The 23,475-nt window shown below is 39.8% G+C and overlaps 1 protein-coding gene and 1 long non-coding RNA gene across 7 annotated transcripts in view; one reads left to right on the top strand and one right to left on the bottom strand.

Annotated features, from left to right (window-relative positions):
• FILIP1 (filamin A interacting protein 1) overlaps positions 1–23,475 on the top strand; it is a 201,942-nt gene that overhangs the window by 40,930 nt on the left and 137,537 nt on the right. The window lies entirely within an intron of this gene.
• Positions 1–23,475, bottom strand: part of LOC101928540 (uncharacterized) — a 75,715-nt gene that overhangs the window by 6,030 nt on the left and 46,210 nt on the right. The gene's annotated exons all lie outside the window — the stretch shown is intronic.

Here is a 23,475-nt window from a genome sequence, read left to right as displayed (position 1 = left end):
AAAAACAAATTTTAATGCAAAAGGAGTACATTGTCACTATAGACTATTTGGGAAAAAATAAGTATAAAGAAAATAAATCATACACAATTTCACCACCCAAAATAACTGCTGAGTAGTTTGATGTATTTTTTCACATTTTGTCCTTCTGAATTACTTATATACTATAGTCACAAGATTAGTATTATGCACAAGACATAGTTTTATATCTAATTCTTATCTTCTGTGTAATTTCCTATAACGTGAATAAACCATAACTTATTTGATAACTCCCTCATTATGGGTCATCTAAGTTGTTTCCAATGTTGTGGAATTTGGAATCCAATAATATAGCAAAGACTTGGAACCAACCCAAATGTCCAACAATGATAGACTGGATTAAGAAAATGTGGCACATATACACCATGGAATACTATGCAGCCATAAAAAATGATGAGTTCATGTCCTTTGTAGGGACATGGATGAAGCTGGAAACCATCATTCTCAGCAAACTATCGCAAGGACAAAAAACCAAACACTGCATGTTCTCACTCATAGGTGGGAATTAAACAATGAGAACACATGGACACAGGAAGGGGAATATCACACACCGGGGACTGTTGTGGGGTGGGGGCAAGGGGGAGGGATAGCATTAGGAGATATACCTAATGTAAATGATAAGTTAAAGGGTACAGCACACCAACATGGCACATGTATACATATGTAACAAACCTGCAGGTTGTGCACATGTACCCTAAAACTTAAAGTATAATAATAACTAAAAAAAAAAAAAACTTTGGTAGAAATCCTTGTCAATAAATTCCTGGTGGCATCTCTGATAATAACTTAAGGATAAATTCCCAGAAGTTGGAATTATTCGATCCAAATATTAAACCTCTTTATACAACTGGTCGGATTATTTAACAGGAAGAAAAAGTGGAATTTTTTTACAGGCTACCTCACATTAATTGATATTTCTATTAGTTGTGTATGAGAGTGCTTATCTCACCATACATTTACCAGCATTTAGTTTTGTAATTTCTTTTTTTTAAATTTTTTTTGAGATGGAGTCTCGCTGCAATGCCCAGGCTGGAGTGCAATGGCTCAATCTCGGCTCACTGGAATCTCCGCTTCCTGGGTTCAAGCGATTCTCCTGCCTCACCCTCCCGAGTAGCTGGGACTGCAGGTGCTGCACACCACCACATCTGGCTAATTTTTGTATTTTTAGTAGGGACAGGATTTCACCATATTGGCTAGGCTGGTCTCAAACTCTTGACCTCGAGTGATCAGACTGCCTTGGCCTCCCAAAATGCTGGGATAACAGGCCGGAGCCACTGTGCCTGGCCTTTGTAACTCTTTTTAAAATGATATTTTATTGTTGTTTTGCCATAAATGTCACTAATTTTTCTAAATGCACTTTGATATATGTATGAGGTTAAATATATTTTTATGTTAGAGTAGAAATTTGTTTATCTTCTTTGGGAATCACCTGTTGATACCTTTTGCCTATTTTTCTATATATTAGTGTTTTATATTGATTTATAAGTTGTTTCTACTATAATTACTGATATTTTGATTATTATATTAATGATAAATATGTATTAATCATTAATTCAAATTACATATACATATATGTATAATATATAAATATATATTTATATATAATATTTGAAAATAATGTTTCTATTTTATAATTTGCCTCTGAATTTTGTTTATACTGTTTATACAGATCAACATATCAAAGCAGTTCCTCAATCTAAACATCATGGCAAGTCAATGGCTTGCTTTTTGAAATTGTGAAACATGTGGTTTCCTCTCACTCCCTGACACCCAACACTTATCCCTGCCCCAACATGAAATGAGAAGTCCACTAGCATTTGAACTTATATTTCCTCCAAAGTGTAAATTGATTACATTACTTATATAAACTAATTTTTTTGAGATGGAGTTTCGCTCTTGTTGCTCAGGCTGGAGTGCAATGGCGCAATCTCGGCTCACTGCAACCTCTGCCTCGCAGGTTCAAGCGATTCTCCTGCCTCAGCAACCTGAGTAGCTGGGATTACTGGCATGCACCACCATGCCCGGCTAATTTTGTATTTTTAGTAGAGACATGGTTTCTCCATGTTGTTCAGGCTGGTCTTGAACTCCCAACCTCAGGTGATCTTCCTGCCTCGGCCTCCCAACATGCTGAGATTACAGGCATGAGCCACCGTGCCCAGCCACTCTTTTTTTTTTTTTTTTTCTTTTTTAAGAGAGAAGTTCTTATTCTGTTCCCCAGGCTGGAGTGCAGTGTCATAATTTCACTGCAGCCTGAAACTCCTGGGCTCAAGCAATCCTCTCATCCCAGCCTCCTCAGTAGCTGGGACTACAGGCACATGCCACCACATCCAGCTAATTTTTTAATTTTTTAAATAGAGATATGGTCTTGCTTTATTGCCCAGGCTGGTCTCAAACTTCTGGCCTCAAGTAATCCTCTTGTCTTGGCCTCCCAAAATGTTAATTACCGGTGCGAGACACTTCACTTGGCCTCTGATTATTCTAAAATAATTTATTGGTATTCTTATTAAACAATCACAGAATACTTGTAGAACATCTCTTGAAATCAGTAATTAGTTTAGCCTGGGCATGGTGGCTCATGCCTATAATCCCAGCACTTTGAGAGGCCAAGGTGAGAGGATCCCTTCAGGCCAGGAGTTCAAGAGCAGCTTGGGCAACATAGCAAGATCCCTCCACCCGCCCGGGCCACTTCCTTGGCCCTGCCATCTCTACCAAAAAAAATTTTTAAAAAGTAATCAGGCACAGTGGTGTGCGCCTGTAGTTCCACCTACTCAGGAAGCTGAGATGGGAGGATCACTTGAGCCCAGGAGTTTAAAAGCTGCCGTACAGTAAGCCATGATTGCACCACCGCACTCCAGTCTGGGTGACAGAGTGAGACCCTGTCTCTAAAAAAAGAAAATTGTTTAAATAAAATAATCAGATATATCAACATAGTATTCAGAGTTATGTGTATTTTAACCTGAAGTAATTGTTCCTAACTGGTTATCATATTACTCTGAGTGCAATTGCAGATTCCACTGATTATTTTCAATGAGTCATAAACACTCATACTTTAAATACTTAGACTTTAAGATAGTTAAGCTGGGAGTAAATGTCTGAGGATTTTTGCCATAGCAGTCAAATAAATATCATTAGTTTTTAAATGCATTTCCTTCAATGTCCTACTCTTGTTCAGGTTTCATCAATTTTGTGTTTAGCCAGGCTACCTAGACTTTAAAAAAAATACAGATGGGGTCTTGCTGTGTCCCAGGCTGGTCTTGAACTCCTGGGCTCAAGGGATCCTCCTGCCTCAACCCCTGAGTAGCTGGGATTACAGGCACATGTCCAGCTAAGGCATTTATCTTTTTTTTCTTTTTAAAACTTCAATAGGTTTTTGGGGAACAGGTGGTATTTGCTTACATGAATAAGTTCTTTAGCGGTGATTCTGAGATTTTGGTGCACCCATCACCCGAGCAGTGTACACTGTACCCAAAATGCAGTCTTTTATCTCTCACTGCCCTCCCATCCTTTCCCCCCAAGTCCCCAAAGTCCATTGTATCATTCTTATGCCTTTGCGTCTTCATAGCTTATCTCCCACTTATGAGAGAACATACGATGTTTGGTTTTCCATTCCTGAGTTACTTCACTTAGAATAATGGTCTCCAAATCCATTCAGGTTGCTGCAAATGCCATTATTTCATTCCTTTTCACGACTGAGTAGTATTCCATGGTGCATATATACCACAATTTCTTTATCCGCTTGTTGATTGATGGGCATTTGGGTTGGTTCCATATCTTTTTTGCAATTGCGAATTGTGCTGCTATAAACATGCATATGCAAGTATCTTTTTCGTATAATGCCTTATTTTCCTCTGGGTAGATACCCAGTAGTGGAATTACTGAATCAAGTGGTGGTAGTTCTACTTTTAGTTCTTTAAAGAATCTCCACATTGTTTTCCATAGTAGTTGTACTAGTTTACATTCCTACCAACAGTGTATCCCACCACATCCACACCAACATCTATTATTTTTTTATTATGGTCATTCTTGCTAGAGTAAGGTGGTATCACACTGTGGTTTTGATTTACATTTCCCTGATCATTAGTGATGTTGAGCATTTTTTCATATGTTTGTTGGCCATTTGTGTATCTTCTTTTGAGAATTGTCCATTCATGCCCTTAGCCCACTTTTTGATGGGATTGTTTGGTGTTTTGTTTATATTCCTTGTAGATTCTGCATATTGGTTCTTTGTTGGATGCATAGATTGCAAAGATTTTCTTCCACTCTGTGGGTTGTGTATTTACTCTGCTCATTATTTCCTTTGCTGTGCAGAAGCTTTTTAGTTCAATTAAGTCCCATCTATTTATCTTTGTTTTTGTTGCATTTGCTTTTGGGTTCCTGGACATGAAGTCTTTGTAAGGCATTTATCTTTAAAGGGATGTATTTGCTATCTTATTTTTACAGTAATAGCACATAAGAATTAATCATATTTCATTTTAAAAGAATTGAGATCAGAAATGCTAAATACATATCCTTGTAAATAGGAACTCTCACCTATTAGTAGAGGCTGTTCCAGTGATGTATTGAGAAGGCTTCTGAGAATGTATTCAGGCTCAGCAGTCAAAGGATGCCATAGCTAATTAGTGATCTAGGAGGAAGGTATGACAAAATCCATGCTGTGTGTTTACCACCCAGGTTAAAGTAAATTTAATAAATGTGAATGTTCAAATATAAACAGAAATTTCAAACTTATTTAGTGTCTGGCATGCTATCTTTGAAGCAAAATTACAAAGACTTTTTTCCTCATCTATGTGGGGGGTATTATTCTATATGTAGGGAACAGCTCCCCATAAAAATAATGTGATATTACAATTATTTTTATTTTTTTTTATGTTTGAAAAGTGCCAATGAAGAATCCTGAAGAAATTCCCTTTCTTCTATATTGGTACCTGGTTTGATTTCTTCAAGGGCTCAATCTTCAAAGAATGGGAAAAGAGGTCTGATTTGTATTTGTGACTACCTCTGGGTGCATTTAGGTTTTTAAATACAGTTTACTTTTAAGATGAAGATTTAATACATGTAGCCTCACCTGGATATTTAGCTAAGGGCACACTGAAAAGGTCTTGAGCCACAGTTAAAAAAATAAAGATCTTTCCAAAGTATCCTTGATCAAAATCCCATACACCTAGAATGCAAAAATAACTTCAGGACCTTTCAGTCCTTAACATTAGCTTTCAAAGTTCACTATTCTTTATTCCCTAGACAACTAGCCTCCATCTATCTTTCTATCCTATGATTATTTTAAATCATCTCAGTTTGGTAAGGTAAAGCACAGGTCTACAAATCCATGGATGAAGAGCATTGTTCTCCTCTTCTCTTCAAATAGTCAGTGGAATCCCAGGGCTCCCTGCACATTTTCTTTAGGATACCTTGACCTCATCCAAAGGTCTTTTGAGATTTGAAAATGCAATTCTTGGCTCAAGCTAATGTATGGTAAACTAGCGATTTCATTGAAAATGCTTCCTGCCAATTAAAAACAAAGGAAGAAGATAAATATATACTGCACCTGATTTCCAGTGTTTCTTGCAGGGGAAAAAAAGAACTCTTTAAAGAAATCTAAAATTCTACATTTCTATGTTTATAACCGTTTTCTTTCCTTTTTCCCTACTTGCACTCAAACTTTGTTATAGCTAAAAATATATAAAGGTTTTTAATACGACAGAAGTTTGTAGAGTTGTTCATACCATCCTTATGCCTTAATCGTTTCTTTTTCGGTTTTGACTAAATGTTTCCTCTGAATAATATGCTACTTTTTTGGAGGCAAATTTTCTCCTCCCTAAGGTTTGGTGACTTCATTTGATATGACACCAATGTTAACCAAGGAAATGAACACTGACTATTTAAAAAACCAAAAAGAGAAGATGTTTTAAATGATTGGGCAGACTCTTGGCATCAGGTTTTTAGAAGCAACTGGCTCAATTAGCCAGCTCAGGAAATGTGCCACATTGTGTGTAAAAAATCCAACTCCCCAAATTACAGAACTGTTGGAACGTTGTGCACCCAGTTTACATTTGCTGGAGAACGTCATCCTTGGCTCAGATGTAATGAAAGAGTCATCATTTTCCCAGGTGAACTGGGGCAAACCAAGGTTTAGTCTCCTTTTATTGCCAGGGAGAGATTGATGGTTGCGGCTAGAAACTATGCAAAAGTTGGCAGTTGTAGCTTCCTTGAGCTTTCAGGTTTGTCCAAGTGAAAGTCAAGGAGTGTGAACCCAGGTAAACGAAATGTTTACCACTAAAGAAGCCACCATGGATTTGAAACCACTGAGGTGCATAGCACTTTCACAGGAAGCATGCCATTCTGCAGAGCTACAGTCTTCTCTGTGAATGACTGTGCAATGTAGATTAGCTCATTTAAATTTTAGGCTAAACATGCAAGAGGGAGATTTTACTGAGATGGCTAGTGGTTACATCCACAGCATTCAATTACTATAATAAGAAACAGATATGTCACTCTAGAGAATTTGGGCTTTGCCTTGATTAATATAGGAGTTTATAATATTTTATAATGATTGCAGCTGCAAACACTACTCCATAGTTGTTAGCATATTATCTACCATTAGCTATGAAAAGGAAGATTCAAATGGTGAATGGAACAACTAGAGGATTTGTTTTTAAGAATAAATATATTCTAATAAATATAAGTTCTTAAGGAGAATCTAACTATAGCAATAGCTTCAGAAAATGAAAATTTTGTGAGTTTTGAAAATTGGGTGATTATAAGTCAAGATCTCTTAAGTTTTCTCTGTGTAAATCTGATTATATATTTTGACATTAGTTCTCAAAGTAGTCTATGCCATGGTGATGCTTTAAATTTTGTTACAAATGTCCTATAAATACTTAGAAAGTTTCAAATTTGTAAGACTCAGCAAAATAATGATCTTATTATATTGGTGGGATTGGATAGTTTGTTGTTGTTAATAGGTATTAAGCACAACCAGATGTACTGTCCTAAAGGAATAAATGAAGAAGGAAAAATGTGTTCAAAAAAAGAGGTGCAAAAATATATATTGTTAATTAATGTAGTGGTAACAAGCACAGTCTTATGACTTTGCAGAATGGAATCTACAAATATATAGACTATAGAAATTCAGCAGGTTCATTTATTCAATATTTAGTAGATATTGTGTTGGCTATGATGTGCTAGGATGTAGTAGGTGCTGGGAGTAAAAAAAAAAAAAATTAAATGTGGTTCCTGCTTTCAATAAGCTCACATGCTCAAATAAACATGGTGGCTGCCATACTTACATGTGAATCAGTGTTCAAGGAGAGTAAGAAAAGAAGCAGCTAAGTTTTCCTAAGGAAATCAGGGAAGGGAAAGTAATGCTTGCATTGAGATTTGAGGAATAATAAGATTAATAGTGTGGGGAGTAGGAGAGAGACAGAGTTCCAGGGGCCTTGAGAAAGGGTGGTGTGTTTAGGGAAGAGAGATCAGTAGGACATAGTTCAGTATAGGGTGCTTTGAGGGGAAGGATGAGAAAAGAGTATAAAGACCTTGAAAAGCTTAGGTCTTGTAAGAGTAAGAAGTTTATTTTGGGGAATAGCTCAAAGAATCTTGGCAAATGACTCAAGAATCTTGAGCAGAGAATTGACACAAAACCACTTTTGTGTTGAAAATATTTTTCTAAGAGCTTTGAAGTGTATGAGTTGGAGGGGCTGCACTTAGGGTAGAGTGGTTATTGCAGAGATGGGAGGAGAGGGGATGGAGGTAGGAGTGGAAGTCAGAATGCGTAGCCTACTACAGCTCTATTTCTATCTTGTCTCAGCCTCGAATTTATGTTGGACTGAAAGTCAGTGGAACACCCTTTATACTGGCTCAGTTCTCTTTAATCAGTCACAAGTTCTGAGGTGATATAAGCAACACTTACACAATTACAGGTAAAAATCCCAATAAAACAAACTCCATGGGGATTATAAATTATTTTAATTGTCTGAAATTTTATTACCTGTCCTAGGGTATTGCTGGGCTAGAACTTATGAATTTTTTTCTCTACAAATACACATATACACAGGAGCAGTATGTGTAAGTTAGTTTAATTTAAAAATGAAGCCTTTAAAGTGTGGATAAATCTGTGCCAGTCACACACTGGAACAGGTCCATTTAAGCTTCGTTATTAATAAAGCAATCTAACATATAAAGGGTGTGGCTGAGGAAGTGAGCTAGGTGAGTGTCAAGTGATAGACTGACTGTAAAACAACTTACGATGGTAGGGGACACCTAAAAACTCCTGTGGGGTCCTTTTTTGATGTTGTAAATCAAAGTACTACTTTATTAAATGAGTTATTTTACACAATATGAACATCAATATAATTACAATTGTAGAAAAAAAAATTTATAACAAAGATGGGCTCATTTGTGACTCTTGTATCAATGAGAAGCCCAGCACAAACTCTCTGTTAAATTGGTTATTTGTGTTTAATAAGAGTAACTGATAGTAGACTATGTACGCACATCAAGTAGGATCAAAACTTACTACGAATCAAATATTGATAGCTGGTTCAACCAGAAGTGGAGAATATGAGAACCAGAGACACTCAAAGAATACTTCTTTTAATTGGCTGAATCTCATTGAAGTATCACAACCTGTTTAGTATTAACTGAGGGAAATGTATCTGAAAATTAGAGGCAAATAACTGATTTTTTGGTGGGATCAATGCTGCCTTTGAAAGAGAAGCATCAGTATGTAAAATTGGATTGACCATCACAAAATTATATTTGAGTCATTGTGTTTACCATTATTTGCCTTTATTGTTACCTCTTCTATTTATTAAGTACTTTCTACATGCATAGTGCTGTGCTGAGTTGTCACCATTCATGACTTCATTTTGTCTCTACAAAGCTCAAATGGTAGTCAGATATTATTGTTATCTCCATACTCAAATAAAGTTGAGGCTTAGAGAGGTTAAATGGCCCTTTTGCTATACAGCTCAATCTAATATGAGCATGTTAGAACTGAAAGAAAATTTAGAGGTAATCCATTTTATCAAAAACTTAGATGCCTAAGTAGTCAGGCAGATAACATAACACCAGGAGTCCATACCTTGTCTAAGGCGACAGCTGCTATTCAGTGTATGCCTTTTGTTGTTGCATGGGAATGTAGACCCAGTGTTGCCAATCTTATAGTTGTTTAAGAGAAATGAGGAATCAGAATCTGAATGTGAAATTTCCCAGATTTAAAAACATGCTTGGCAAATAGGATATGTCCACAGGCTGGTTATGGCCAATGGGTCACCAGTTTGCAACCTCCAATGAGGTACAATTCCATTATTTTACAAATAAGACACAGAAAAGTGAAGTGAGACACCCAGTGACTCACTACAAGTCAGGGATATATCCATTTTTCCCCTTAAAATCATGTTAGATTACCAAAATACTTAAGTTTTTCAGAAAAATGTTTCTAAAAATTGGTAGATTTTTGAAATGCATTTTAAAATTGTTTATTTCCTTGATAATCTATTAAAAATTGATTAATGCTTGTAATGCTAATGCTTTTGGCATAAACATTTAAAAATATGTGATTTTCTTCCTGCTGATTGTTTTGGCTTGATTATGTTACAAACAGCACTAAATAAATAGTATAATTTGGATAATAAAATTTCTAAAGAAAAAAGAAAATCTATGGATTGACTTTATTTTTGTTTAATAGATGTTCCAGGAGCAGAATGAATTCTAACTACAAATTTTCTAATACTCTTCATTTTTCATCTGATCTAAAAATTGGACAAATAAGTTAGGGAATCATTTCCCCAAACAATTAAGAAACTTTACACTTTCACTCCAAGATTTTTCACTGTGGACCATAAATATAAAGCTATCTTAGGTTCACTTTGAACATTTTCTTCCTTCTTTGTTTCCTCTCTAATAGTAAAAAGATTGCTCTTCTGAGAACTCATTGGTCCTTCATCCTTTGCAGGGTTGTTAAGAAATCAGGGAGGGCTAACTCCACGGATGACACTGACTGGGGATCCTGCATGTGTGTAGACATGGATTTATGAAATAGAGTGGGAAGAAAGAGGAAGTTTCCCTCCCCCTCCCCCTCTCCCTCTCCCTCTCCCCACGGTCTCCCTCTGATGCCGAGCCAAGGCTGGACTGTACTGCTGCCATCTCGGCTCACTGCAACCTCCCTGCCTGATTCTCCTGCCTCAGCCTGCCGAGTGCCTGCGATTGCAGGCGCGCGCTGCCACACCTGACTGGTTTTCGTATTTTTTTGGTGGAGACGGGGTTTCGCTGTGTTGGCCGGGCTGGTCTCCAGCTCCTAACCGCGAGGGATCCGCCAGCCTCGGCCTCCCGAGGTGCCGGGATTGCAGACGGAGTCTGGTTCACTCAGTGCTCAATGGTGCCCAGGCTGGAGTGCAGTGGCGTGATCTTGGCTCGCTACAACCTCCACCTCCCAGCCGCCTGCCTTGGCCTCCCAAAGTGCCGAGAGTGCAGCCTCTGCCAGGCCGCCACCCCGTCTGGGAAGTGAGGAGCGTCTCTGCCTGGCCATCCATCGTCTGGGACGTGAGGAGCCCCTCTGCCTGGCTGCCCAGTCTGGAAAGTGAGGAGCGTCTCTGCCCGGCCACCATCCCATCTAGGAAGTGAGGAGCGCCTCTTCCCGGCCGCCATCCCATCTAGGAAGTGAGGAGCGTCTCTGCCCGGCCACCCATTGTCTGAGCTGTGGGGAGCGCCTCTGCTCCGCCGCCCCATCTGGGAGGTGAGGAGCGTCTCTGCCCGGCCGCCCCGTCTGAGAAGTGAGGAGCCCCTCCACCCGGCAGCCGCCCCGTCCCAGAAGTGAGGAGCCCCTCCGCCCAGCAGCCACCCCGTCTGGGAAGTGAGGAGCGTCTCCGCCCCGCAGCCACCCCGTCCGGGAGGGAGGTGGGGGTCAGCCCCCCGCCCGGCCAGCCGCCCCGTCCGGGAGGGAGGTGGGGGGGTCTACCCCCCGCCCGGCCAGCTGCCCCGTCCGGGAGGGAGGTGGGGGGGCCAGCCCCCCGCCCGGCCAGCCGCCCCGTCCGGGAGGTGAGGGGCACCTCTGCCCGGCTGCCCCTACTGGGAAGTGAGGAGCCCCTCTGCCCGGCCAGCCGCCCCGTCCGGGAGGGAGGTGGGGGGGTCAGTCCCCCGCCCGGCCAGCCGCCCCGTCAGGGAGGGAGGTGGGGGCGTCAGCCCCCCGCCCGGCCAGCCGCCCCGTCCGGGAGGGAGGTCGGGGGGGTCAGCCCCCTGCCCGGCCAGCCGCCCCGTCCGGGAGGAGAGGGGCGCCTCTGCCCGGCCGCCCCTACTGGGAAGTGAGGAGCCCCTCTACCCGGCCACCACCCCGTCTGGGAGGTGTACCCAACAGCTCATTGAGAACGGGCCATGATGACAATGGCGGTTTTGTGGAATAGAAGGGGGGGAAAGGTGGGGAAAAGATTGAGAAATCGGATGGTTGCCGTGTCTGTGTAGAAAGAAGTAGACATGGGAGACTTCATTTTGTTCTGTACTAAGAAAAATTCTTTTGCCTTGGGATCCTGTTGATCTGTGACCTTATCCCCAACCCTGTGCTCTCTGAAACATGTGCTGTGTCCACTCAGGGTTAAATGGATTAAGGGCGGTGCAAGATGTGCTTTGTTAAACAGATGCTTGAAGGCAGCATGCTCGTTAAGAGTCATCACCACTCCCTAATCTCAAGTACCCAGGGACACAAACACCGCGGAAGGCCGCAGGGTCCTCTGCCTAGGAAAACCAGAGACCTTTGTTCACTTGTTTATCTGCTGACCTTCCCTCCACTATTGTCCTATGACCCTGCCAAATCCCCCTCTGCGAGAAACACCCAAGAATGATCAATAAAAAAAAAAAAAAGGAAGTTTTACTCTTCGGTCATACCTTTTTTTTTTTTTTTTTGAGACGTCGCTCCTTGTTGCCCAGGCTGGAGTGCAACGGCACGATCTCGGCTCACTGCAACCTCCACTTCCCAGGTTCAAGCGATTCTCTTGCCTCAGCCTCCCAAGTAGCTGGGATTACAGGCATGTGCCACCACGCCCGGCTAATTTTGTATTTTTAGTAGAGATGGTGTTTCTCCATGTTGGTCAGGGTGGTCTTGAACTCCTGAACTCAGGTGATTGCCTGCCTCAGCCTCCCAAACTGCTGGGATCACAGGCCACTGCGTCCGGCCTGTCATACCCATTTCTTAAGAGAAGTCCATGGAGTCAAAGACCAGCGTGGTAAATTGGTGGGGGCATTTCCCAGTGAGCCCTCACCTGTGGTCTCATGGAGTTATGTGATTCTTGAACACAGGAAGTCAATCTTGCCTGCCATTCCACTTTGTAGACGGGTCTCAGCATTTCCCTCTTACTGGTTGCATGGCTTTTAATACTACAAATGTTGTTTAATGTCTTCGATAAGCCCTTCATAGTGAAAATTCTCTTCACCTGCAATTTCTCCTTCACTTCCTGCACAATCACAGGCTTGGCAGTAAACCTAATTGATTTGCCATGAAGGTTGGAGAAAGCAGATGGAATCCAGAATTTCCAGATTCTTAGAATTTTATTGACTTGGAGTTGAGCATTTTAAAAGATCAGCTTGTATCTCAGTGCTTTTTTGCTTTTCATTTTGCCACAGTGTATTTTTAAAACTTTTTATTCTGAAATAATGTTAGATTCCCAAAAAGTTGCCCAAAGAGCCCGTGATGGATTTTCAAAATGAAGGTCATAAAAAAAACCCAGAAGTTATTTTCCTATCTTATTTATGTCATCTGCTCAATGCAATTATTACATGTTTTTACCAAGTTTAAACTCCTAAAATATTGACTTATATATTAACAAGAAAAGCAAACCATCATAGCAATAATATGTGGTCATGCAAATGCATATTTTTTTATTGAGGTGAGGTAGGATATCCATGGTGATTTGCCTTTAATAGATTCTCAAGAAATATTTGTTGACTGGTTTATTTAGCATAGTAGGAAAGATTTGCTGATTTATTTTCCCTCTTTAATTGAGAATTACTTCTTAACAATGGCCTAATTTGTACTTCAGTGTTAGGAAGAACTTACCAAGCACTAGTTTAAGTTTGTGGTCTTTCTAACCTAGAGTTTATTTTGGATAGGGATACCCAGTGACCTTTGTCAAATAATATGACACTTGCTCTCCAGGACATTCTCCTCAAAGGCTGGAGTGGTACATAAATATTTCTAACTTCTTCTTAGTGTCCTATTATAAATTGATCATCTACTTATTTACCTAAATCTTTCCAAACCTGAGCTGTTTGATTCATCTCAAGGAGTGACTATACTCTGTTTTACAGCATTAAGAATAGCTTACTTTTCATTGTCCTATGCCTGCCCTCCTTCATATTTTAAGGACTTCCACGTATGTTTGCACATTGTAACTTTTGTTCTATTCTCAAAGGGACAAAGAACATGTGTTTGCACACTCCAATCATGACCATATTTTCTTACAATCCATTTAACCTTTTTTTTTTTTGGACGGAGTCTCGCTCTTGTCGCCCAGGCTGGAGTGCAGTGGCGTGATCTCGGCTCACCGCAACCTCTGCCTTCTGGGTTCAAGTGATTCTCCTGCCTCAGCCTCCCGAGTAGCTGGGACTACAGGCGCATGCCACCACACGTGGCTAATTTTTTGTATTTTTAGTAGAGATGGGGTTTCACCGTGTTAGCCAGGATGGTCTCCTTTTCTCACAACTTTTAGTAGCTTAGATTTCCTTCTCTCAACAAACCAGGGAATTGCTATAATGCAGGACCTCTGTGTTAACATGCTGAAGAGTGAATTCAAAGATCTGGAGACATTTCATTAGAGGTTATCTGGGGAGAGTATAATATTGGCCTATCACATTGGTCAGCAGCCTGTTTGTAACCCCTGTCTCTGGCAGAGCTTAGTTTTTCCTATTGGAGTCGTTCAAAATCTTTCTAGTTTCTTAACCTTTTAGTCACAGTTTGGCTTTTCTGATTTCTCTGTAATTTCTGGGAAACCCTGTCAATTCCTCATCTTAATAAAGAGTCCATGAGTAGAAGCAACATTCTAGTTGCTTCCACTAGTTGCATTCTAGTAGGGGCCTTATGATTCTGAGAACTTTTGAGATATCAGTCCACATTTTTTACATTCTTTAATTTATCTGAGCCAGAGTGGAGCTGCCTTTGGAGATTACGTAGAATGTACTGATATCCATTGCATTTTCCCATATGCTGCCTTTTTTTTTTAGCCTAATCCAATTGCACCAAGATTTGTTGCTTGTGCATTATGTGAAAGCCCTATGCTAATTGCTGCAGGGGTTACAAGAGTGAATTTGATAGTTTTTGCCCTCAAGCAGTTTATGATCTTGTGGGATTAAAGACATGGCAGTTACACCAAAGCTATAATATGCAGACAAAAATAAGTATAATTTCTGTTTCCATTTTTATATCTTACTTGGGTTAAATTTATCTTAGGCTTTCTAATCAAAGCCCTGTGAAATAAAGGAGGATAAGAAGAGGAAAAGCAAAATCCCCAGGCTGACTGTACTCATCAGTTGCTGTGAATAAACTGGCTCCAAAGTATGAGATCCAGATGTTGGATTTATATCACAGCTCAGTGAATGACAAAAATCATAGTACTATGTCTTTTATTGCTTCACTATTTATATATAACCTATGATGAAGCATTAACCTTCTTTGGCTAATATTTCCTGCCCCAAAAGACCACTAGCAGGCATACAACTGTGCGCAGCTGGAATAAGCATAGCCTGAAATTCATGACAGTAAAACAGGTTGTCTTTCAACTGTCACTGTGCCACATAATGGAATGTAACAGAGATAATGCAGGAGTTGTTACAATGCAGTTTGGCTGAGACAGCCGTGATACACAGGGCCTTGTCTTTAAAATCTTTCTTTTAAAATTATTTATTTTCAATAAATTAATTCATGAAATCTTATAACGTACTCCTATGAAAAATGCAACAGTTAATGATTTCCCAACTTAGATTGGAGAAACTAAGGCACAAAGCAAGCAGCTACTTTCTTTGAAATGCCTAGTTACCAGCTAATTGCTTTGGAATGCCCAGTTAGTCTCTTAGCCAATGTTACTAATGACTAATTCTCGGTTCTTGATGACAGTTCCTCCCCAGCTCAAACATGTTCTCAGCAGATCATGAAGGACCCTGACCAATAAGTACATCTCTCCTTGTTCCATTAGAGATGCATTAGAAGTCTTCAAGGTCACCATTTGTTTGTATATATCTTTGACATCATCTTTTTGGACTGTACTTGTGGCAGTTACCTCATAGTGAGCAAGGAGAGATTCCCGACTGTATCAACACATCAGCAACTGTTACCGAAATATCACAGACTCAGGCTCTCCCATGAGGCATCTCTGGCCAAGAGGATTGCTGAAATGAGGATTGTGAGGAAGATGAGAAAGCCAATATTCTTATGAACTAAGCTTTATTTCTAATAAAAGAAAGAAAAACAAGAACAAAACATTGACTGCAGTTCAAAATCCAGCTTGTTTTCTTTACAGAGGCCATTTGTTTTAAGTTTGTCCATACAAACTCACATATTTTCTCCCTAGCTTATTGTCACATACTTCAAGAAGACAAATTATTTCCTTCTGATTTTTTCCTCCTTTTCCATGCTATTCTGTCTGCTTTGAACCAGCCATAATACTGTGGACTGAGGCATGATCTTTATCCTTATCGGGCACAGCAAATGATGCCAGGTTTATCTGGTATATCTCTCCAAGTTCTGTCTTCATAATATTTCACTTAGGAATGCAGGGAAGTTTTTCCAATCTGATTCCGTCTGCATGGAAAAGTGAGAGCGGGGAGTTGAGGCTGCAGGAGTTATTTGGCCCTTTCTCAGTGGTGTGCTGGAGCCAGCTGGCACTGGCTTGCAGGAACTGATTGTGCTCATCTCTTCTCAACTCTGCGTTCAGTAATGTCATGCTGGTAGCTTGAAATTGACCATGATGGGGGTATTTACACCATGGGAAGTGCAAATGCTACCAATCAAGTCCTTCTTTTTTTATTTTTATTTTTTCTGGAGAGCTGGCTTACCAGCACATCATTTCCCATTGTTTGTCTTGACCTAAATACAGAGGATTTCTGCCAGTGTCCATTAAAATGTCACCGCACTTCTGGCTTATTGTCAGCACAAATTGGCAACCCAAAATGAGTTAGAAAGAGATGAATTCTCTCCACCTGTCTCGTCATCAAAAGATAGCTTTGGGACAGGGCTTTATCTGTCCCATAATCTCCATGAGCAACTCTGTAAAGCTCCACCGTATAATTATTGATTTGTGACAAAAGTATGCTTTCTAAGTAAATGCAGCCTCAAGGTAATCTATGATTCCCTTGTACCTACTTCTAACCAGATTGTTCCCACTAGATCTCCTGTTCCTAGAAGGAACTTAGAAGCCATTCTGCTTCCAACTTTGGTGCATACAGTTTTACAATGGAAGCTTTTTGCAGAAGTGTCTTCTTTTTTTTTTTTTTCCTGAGACAGGGTCTCACTCTGTCGCCCAGGCTGGAGTGGCGCAATCTTGGCTCACTGCAACCTTGGCCTCCCAGGCTAAAGTGATCCTCCCCTCAGCCTCCCAAGTAGCTGGGATTACAGGCACATGCCGCTAGCCTGGCTAACTTTTGTATTTTTAGTAGAGACAGGGTTTCACCATGTTGTCCAGGATGGTCTTGAACTCCTGAGTTCAAGTGATCTGCCTGCCTCGGCCTCCCAAAGTGCTGGGATTACAGGCATGAGCCACTGTACCCAGCCTTGCAGCAGTGACTTCTGCAACTCTTATGACTTCTGTGATCCTAAGGGCCTCAAGAGCATCAGGGATTCCAGCCCTGCCATTGGTCTTAAAGAGAAAATTAACAAGAAAATCCCATTGTTTCAATTCAGTGTTCCAGTTGATCAAGGTTAGCTGGAATCTACTGTACTATGCTCCTTCACTCTTCTGAGTAATTAAAGCCCTCAAGCAGATTAAATAAGCAGAGATGAGTGTGCCTTTAGTGTGTGAGAAGTTTGAGTGGTTTAAACCTTGGAGGCTGTGCACCTTCCTGAGATTCTCTTCCTTGGTACCTTTGATAACACCTCAGTAGTATCAATGATGACGGGAAAAGTCACTCAGCAGAAATCAAGAGAGAAGGAAATGTAAGAGTGTCTCTTGGTAGCTGTCAGGACAGCATTTAAGAGCAGAGTTATTCATCCCTCCCACCCTTGGGGAATTCTAGAAATAGCTGAATAAGGGTCTTTGAGGAAAGTCTCTTGGTCCCCCATCATGGGTGGGAGCAGAGTTTGAGAGGCCATAATTTTACTGCCAGGTTACTGTATTCCAGGAAACCTGATTTTAAGTTCTCATTGTGTGAAACAGCAGAGGCATAAAAATGTGGAATCTGGGCCGAATCAAACATGATTTAATTGTTAGTTAAGTCCCTAACAATAATTTACCCATTCATTTATATTTCAAGACTTAAAGAGGCAAAGAAATCTCCAATGATTTAAAATCATCTTCTGAAGAAAAGTGAACAAATCTGTAGGGACCTCTGAATTGATATTGTACCTATGATATAATTTTGTTCTTTGAAAAAAATCAACAGCCAGAATACAGAGTACTTTTTCGATTTTTTAAAAGGCTACATTAAAAATTCACTCTCCATTTTATGAGGCCAGCATTATCGTGATACCAAAGCCTGGCAGAGACACAACAAAAGAAGAGAATTTTAGACCAATATCCCTGATGAACAGAGATGCAAAAATCCTCAATAAAATACTGGCAAACTGAATCTAGCAGCACAGCAAAAAGTTTATCCACTATGATCAAGTGAGCTTCATCCCTGGGATGCAAGGCTGGTTCAACATACACAGATCAATAAATGTAATCCATCATATAAACAGAATGAAAGACAAAACCCGCATGATTATCTCATTAGATGCAAAAAGGCCTTCGACAAAATTCAACGCCCTTCGTGCTAAAAACTCTCAACAAACTAGGTATTGATGGGACGTATCTCAAAATAATAAGAGCTATTTATGACAAACCCACAGCCAATATCATACTGCATGGGCAAAAGCTGGAAGCATTCCCTTTGAAAACTGGCACAAGACAGGGATGCCCTCTCTCACCACTCCTATTCAACATAGTGTTGGAAATTCTGGCCAGGGCAATCAGGCAGGAGAAATAAATAAAGAGTATTCAATTAGGAAAAGAGGAAGTCAGATTGTCCCTGTTTGCACATGACATGATTGTATATTTAGAAAACCCCATCGTCTCAGCCCCAAATCTCCTTAAGCTGATAAGCAACTTCAGCAGTCTCAGGATACAAAATCAGTGTGCAAAAACCACAAGCATTCCTTTACACCAATAATAGACAAACAGAGAGCCAAATCATGAGTGAACTCCCATTCACAATTGCTACAAAGAGAATAAAATACCTAGGAAGCCAACTTACAAGGGATGTGAAGGACCTCTTCGAGGAGAACTACAAACCAGTGCTCAACGAAATAAGAGAGGATACAAACAAATGGAAGAACATTCCATGCTCATGGGTAGGAAGAATCAATATTTTGAAAATGGCCATACTGCCTAAGGTAATTTATAGATCCTATGCCATCCCCATCAAGCTACCAATGACTGTCTTTACAGAATTGGAAAAAACTACTTTAAAGTTCATATGGAACCAAAAAAGAGCCCACATTGCCAAGACAATCCTAAGCAAAGAGAACAAAGCTGGAGGCATCACACTACCTGACTTCACACTATACTACAAGGCTACATTAACCAAAACAGCATGGTACTGGTACCAAAACAGAGATAGAGACCAATGGAACAGAACAGAGGCCTCAGAAATAATACCACACATCTACAACCATCTGATCTTTGACAAACCTGACAAAAACAAGAAATGGGGAAAGGATTCCCTATTTAATAAATGGTGCTGGGAAAACTGGCTAGCCATATGTAGAAAGCTGAAACTGTATCCCTTCCTTACACCTTATACAGAAATTAATTCAAGATGGATTAAAGACTTAAATGTTAGACCTAAAACCATAAAAACCCTAGAAGAAAACCTAGGCAATACCATTCAGGACATAGGCATGGACAAGGACTTCATGACCAAAACACCAAAAGCAATGGCAATAAAAGCCAAAATTGACAAATGGTATCTAATTAAACTAAAGAGCTTCTGCACAGCAAAAGAGCTTCTGCACAGCAAAACTATCCTCAGAGTGAACAGGCAACCTATAGAATGGGAGAAAATTTTTAGAATCTATCCATCTTACAAAGGGCTAATATCCAGAATCTAAAAAGAACTTAAACAAATTTACAAGAAAAAATCAACCCCATCAAAAAGTGGGCAAAGGATATGAACAGACACTTCTCAAAAGAAGACATTTATGCAGCCAAAAGACACATGAAAAAATGTTCATCATGACTGGTCATCAGAGAAATGCAAATCAAAACCACAGTGAGATACCATCTCACACCAGTTAGAATGGTGATCATTAAAAAGTCAGGAAACAACAGTTGCTGGAAAGGATGTGGAGAAATAGGAACACTTTTACACTGTTGGTGGGACTGCAAACTATTCAATCACTGTGGAAGACAGTGTGGCAATTCCTCAAGGATCTAGAACTAGAAATACCATTTGACCCAGCCATACCATTACTGGGTATATACCCAAAGGATTATAAATCATGCTGCTATAAAGACACATGCACATGTATGTTTATTGTAGCACTATTCACAATAGCAAAGACTTGGAACCAACCCAAATGTCCATCAGTGATAGACTGGATTAAGAAAATGTGGCACATATACACCATGGAATACTATGCAGCCATAAAAAAGGATGAGCTCATGTCCTTTGTAGGGACATGGATGAAGCTGGAAACCATCATTTGGAGCAAACTATCACAAGGACAGAAAACCAAACACCACATGTTCTCACTCATAGGTGGGAATTGAACAATACACATGGACACAGGGCAGAGAACATCACACACCGGGGCCTGTTGGGAAGTGGGGGGAGGGGGAAGGGATAGCATTAGGAGATATACCTAATGTAAATGACGAGTTAATGGATGCTGCACACCAACATGGCACATGTATACATACGTAACAAACCTGCATGTTATGCACATGTACCCTAGAACTTAAAGTATAATAAAAAAAATAAAAATAATAAAATAGTAAATAAAAATCTTTAAAAAAATTCACTCTCTTTGAGCCACTGTGGATGAAACCTATATGGCCTTGCATAGTAACATTTTGCAGAATTGGCTTTGTGAAAGAAATATCAATTTATTTTTAGAATAAACTAAAATAAAAGTTGACTTGGAAATAACTCATTCACCTAATCAGCTAGCATAGGCAAAAATCTTCCTAATTTCTCCAGCTCTCTCTGTGATTTATCTTTTCAATGGGAACAGTTTTGTTACTGTGAGGTCCATGCTGACACAAATCATCTACAACTCCTTCCTTTACCAAGGGCCTGGCCCTTTGAAATCACTCAGTAACAATGAAACAATAAAGTAGGTCCTGAAAATAATTCGAAAACAATAAAGTAGATCCTGAAAATAATTTCATAGGTAACATTTACATCAAGTCTGTCTTCAAACTTAGTTTTGAGTAGTAAATTTTAAAGTGACAAAGATTTACTCTAAAATCACCTTTTCAATGATACATTCATATGTAGGGTATGGTATTTATAAATATGCACTTGACAACTATTTAATAAAAACAATGGAACTATTTTGGTAAAACTGAAACAGTGTATCAAATACAGGGTATCACTAGTTTACAATCTAGGTGAAATCTATGGAGAAATAGAAAACCTCTAAGTCTTTGGTCCTGGCTAGGACTTTTGTTCAAGCAGAATCCTGCTATTTATAATCCTTAGAAGAGAAACTTTATTTTTAGACAATTCATGTATGTCACTATCTTTTGCATAGGGTACTATAAGAGATTTTTAAAAACACATTCGTCTTATCTTTTGAGGTTTTGATTTGTTTTCTTTCATATTTCTCCTTATCCTCCCACTAGTCTTTGTGTATATTCCCTTGGAGCAGAAGTGTAGAAAGGACAGAGGGGTGTTTAGGTCTGTTACCTCAGTTGGCCCAGGAGTCCAATACTGCAGGCTCCTTCTCTGCCTAGGACAGCTGGCTGTGCCTGGTGTGGGGGAAGTCCTTTGTTCATTGGCTATGCTACACCCTCACTCTGGTTTGTCAGCTGTCTGGCAAATCTCTGTCCTTGGCCACAAGTGTCATTAGATGACAGCATATGAACGACTCAAGGCAAACACACCAGTACTCCTAGAAAAGCAATTCTCAATTTATGTTCTGTGGATGGTGAGTCATGCTAGTATACTAAGAATAGGGGTGAACAGAAAACAAGGGGAAGAAGGGTAAAGGACACCCTCCCTGGTTCAAATTTGGAAAATACTAACTCTGGGCATTTTTGTTGGCTTGAATGGCAGCTGATGAAAATAAAGTGTCAACAAAATAAGAAGATAGTATTAAATTACTGGGAAAATATTTTTTCTCATGCCTACATGAGAAACAGACTTTACTGTTTATGTACATCTTAAATTTTAGACATTAAAAATTATAGGAACGTAGCCAAACTTAAAAATAACCTGTGTTTTGTACTTTCTTGATGTGTAACTATAGAACGTTCCTTGACCTTCCTCTGCCCTCATGCTCAGTATTTAGTTACCATGGCTACCGCCAAGGCTCACTTTTTCTTTTTTTCTGATGTGAATGGATAACAGTGCCGTATGAAGGACAAACTGAAGGCTGAACATGCAAACTCAGAGTGTAGTCTTATTATAACATGCAACTTTCCTGAGTTAATCTGTTGTGTTTTACAATATACATACTTATTATTTTGCTGCACTTGTCCTCCATTTTGAACTTTTCCTCCTAGGTTCACATCAAACCACAAGACAGCTATGTGTTTTTGTGCTTTTGCCTTGGCCTGCAAAGAGCTTACTTTCCCCTCTTAGGGACCAACAGGAGTACCATCTGCTGGGAAATGCTCAATCTTCAAAGCCTGCACCTCTGTCCTAATCCACAGCCATTTGTCTTTGCAAGTTTTTAATTTCTTATGATCTTAGCAGTTATTCAGGATTAGGTCTAGTTAATCCTCAGATATGAGACTGCCACTAATTTGGGAATAGGTCTAGTTAATCCTCAGATATGAGACCACTACTAAAGCATGTCCCAAGCTTTCTTTTATTTTTTAAATTTGCTTAAATGTCTGTTTTGTAGACCAGTTTTCACATGAGAAGTCATTGGGGTGTGAGCTGTTATTATATATATTTATGATGTCTTTTATACTATATACATATAATATTTGTTATAATTACTTCATTTTGTTATTTTTTTCTGTTTTTTGATATGATTTATAATACACCTAAAACATAAGGAGAGTAACATAACACATAATTTATAAATACATATACATGTTTTGGGATAAGTGATTAACTTTTTTATTTATCAACTGTCAAACAAATTTGAAAACCACTGTATTAGTCTTTTCTCACACTGCTATAAAGAAATATCTGAGACTGGGTAATTTATAAACAAAAGAGGTTTAATTGATTCACAGTTCTGCATGTCTGGGGAGGCCTGAGGAAACTTACAATCATGGCAGAAGAGGAAGCAGGCACGTCTTACATGGCAGCAGGAGAGAGAAGTGAAGGGGGAAGAGCCCCTTATAAAACCATCAGATCTTGTGAGAACTCACTCACTAACATGAGAACAGCATGGGGGAAAATGCCCCCATGATCCAATCACCTCCCACCAGGTCCCTCTCTCAACACTTGGGGATTACAATTTAAGATGAGATTTGGGTGAGGGCACAAAGCCAAACCAAATCAACCACTCTCTTAGACTATGACATTCTTGAGGAAAGCAACATGTTTTATTTTTGTGTGTGTGTCTTTGCATCCAGCATGGTGCTGGTGTGCTTGTTATGCAGTATCATGGGACACAAAAAAAGTTTGTGAAATGAAATATAACCCATAGTTTTCATGCTGAGAAAGCCTGGGGTGTAACAGTAAAAGATCAGTATCATATTTCCTTGACTTCATTTCTACCTGAACTATTATAGAACCTTCTCTTCACTTTCTGCCAGGTTAATTTAAGAGGTGGTCCCCAGGGCATGTTCCTTAGGCCTTCCAAACACTGTTCTGCTCCTGAGCTGCCTTTGAAGATTTGTTGATGCCTCTGCTACCTCTTCTGGTTCCAACAGGGACCATTCAGGAGTGCCCCCAAATCCACTTCCTGTCTCCTGCATAGCCAGTTCTTACAGAGCCTTTCCTGGTGTGCTTCTATTTATACCTGCTAGGGGCCTCAGCTTTGGCTGCATGCCTATAGAGGCATCCTGAGGAACCCATTCCCTGCTATGCACAACATTCCTTCTCCCCTTGGAAAGTAACATTGACCTTGGATCAAGCTTGTAG

Source organism: Homo sapiens, chromosome 6 (assembly GCF_000001405.40).
Source record: "Homo sapiens chromosome 6, GRCh38.p14 Primary Assembly".
NCBI lineage: Eukaryota > Metazoa > Chordata > Mammalia > Primates > Hominidae > Homo > Homo sapiens.
This window is presented reverse-complemented; position numbering and strand designations above follow the sequence as displayed.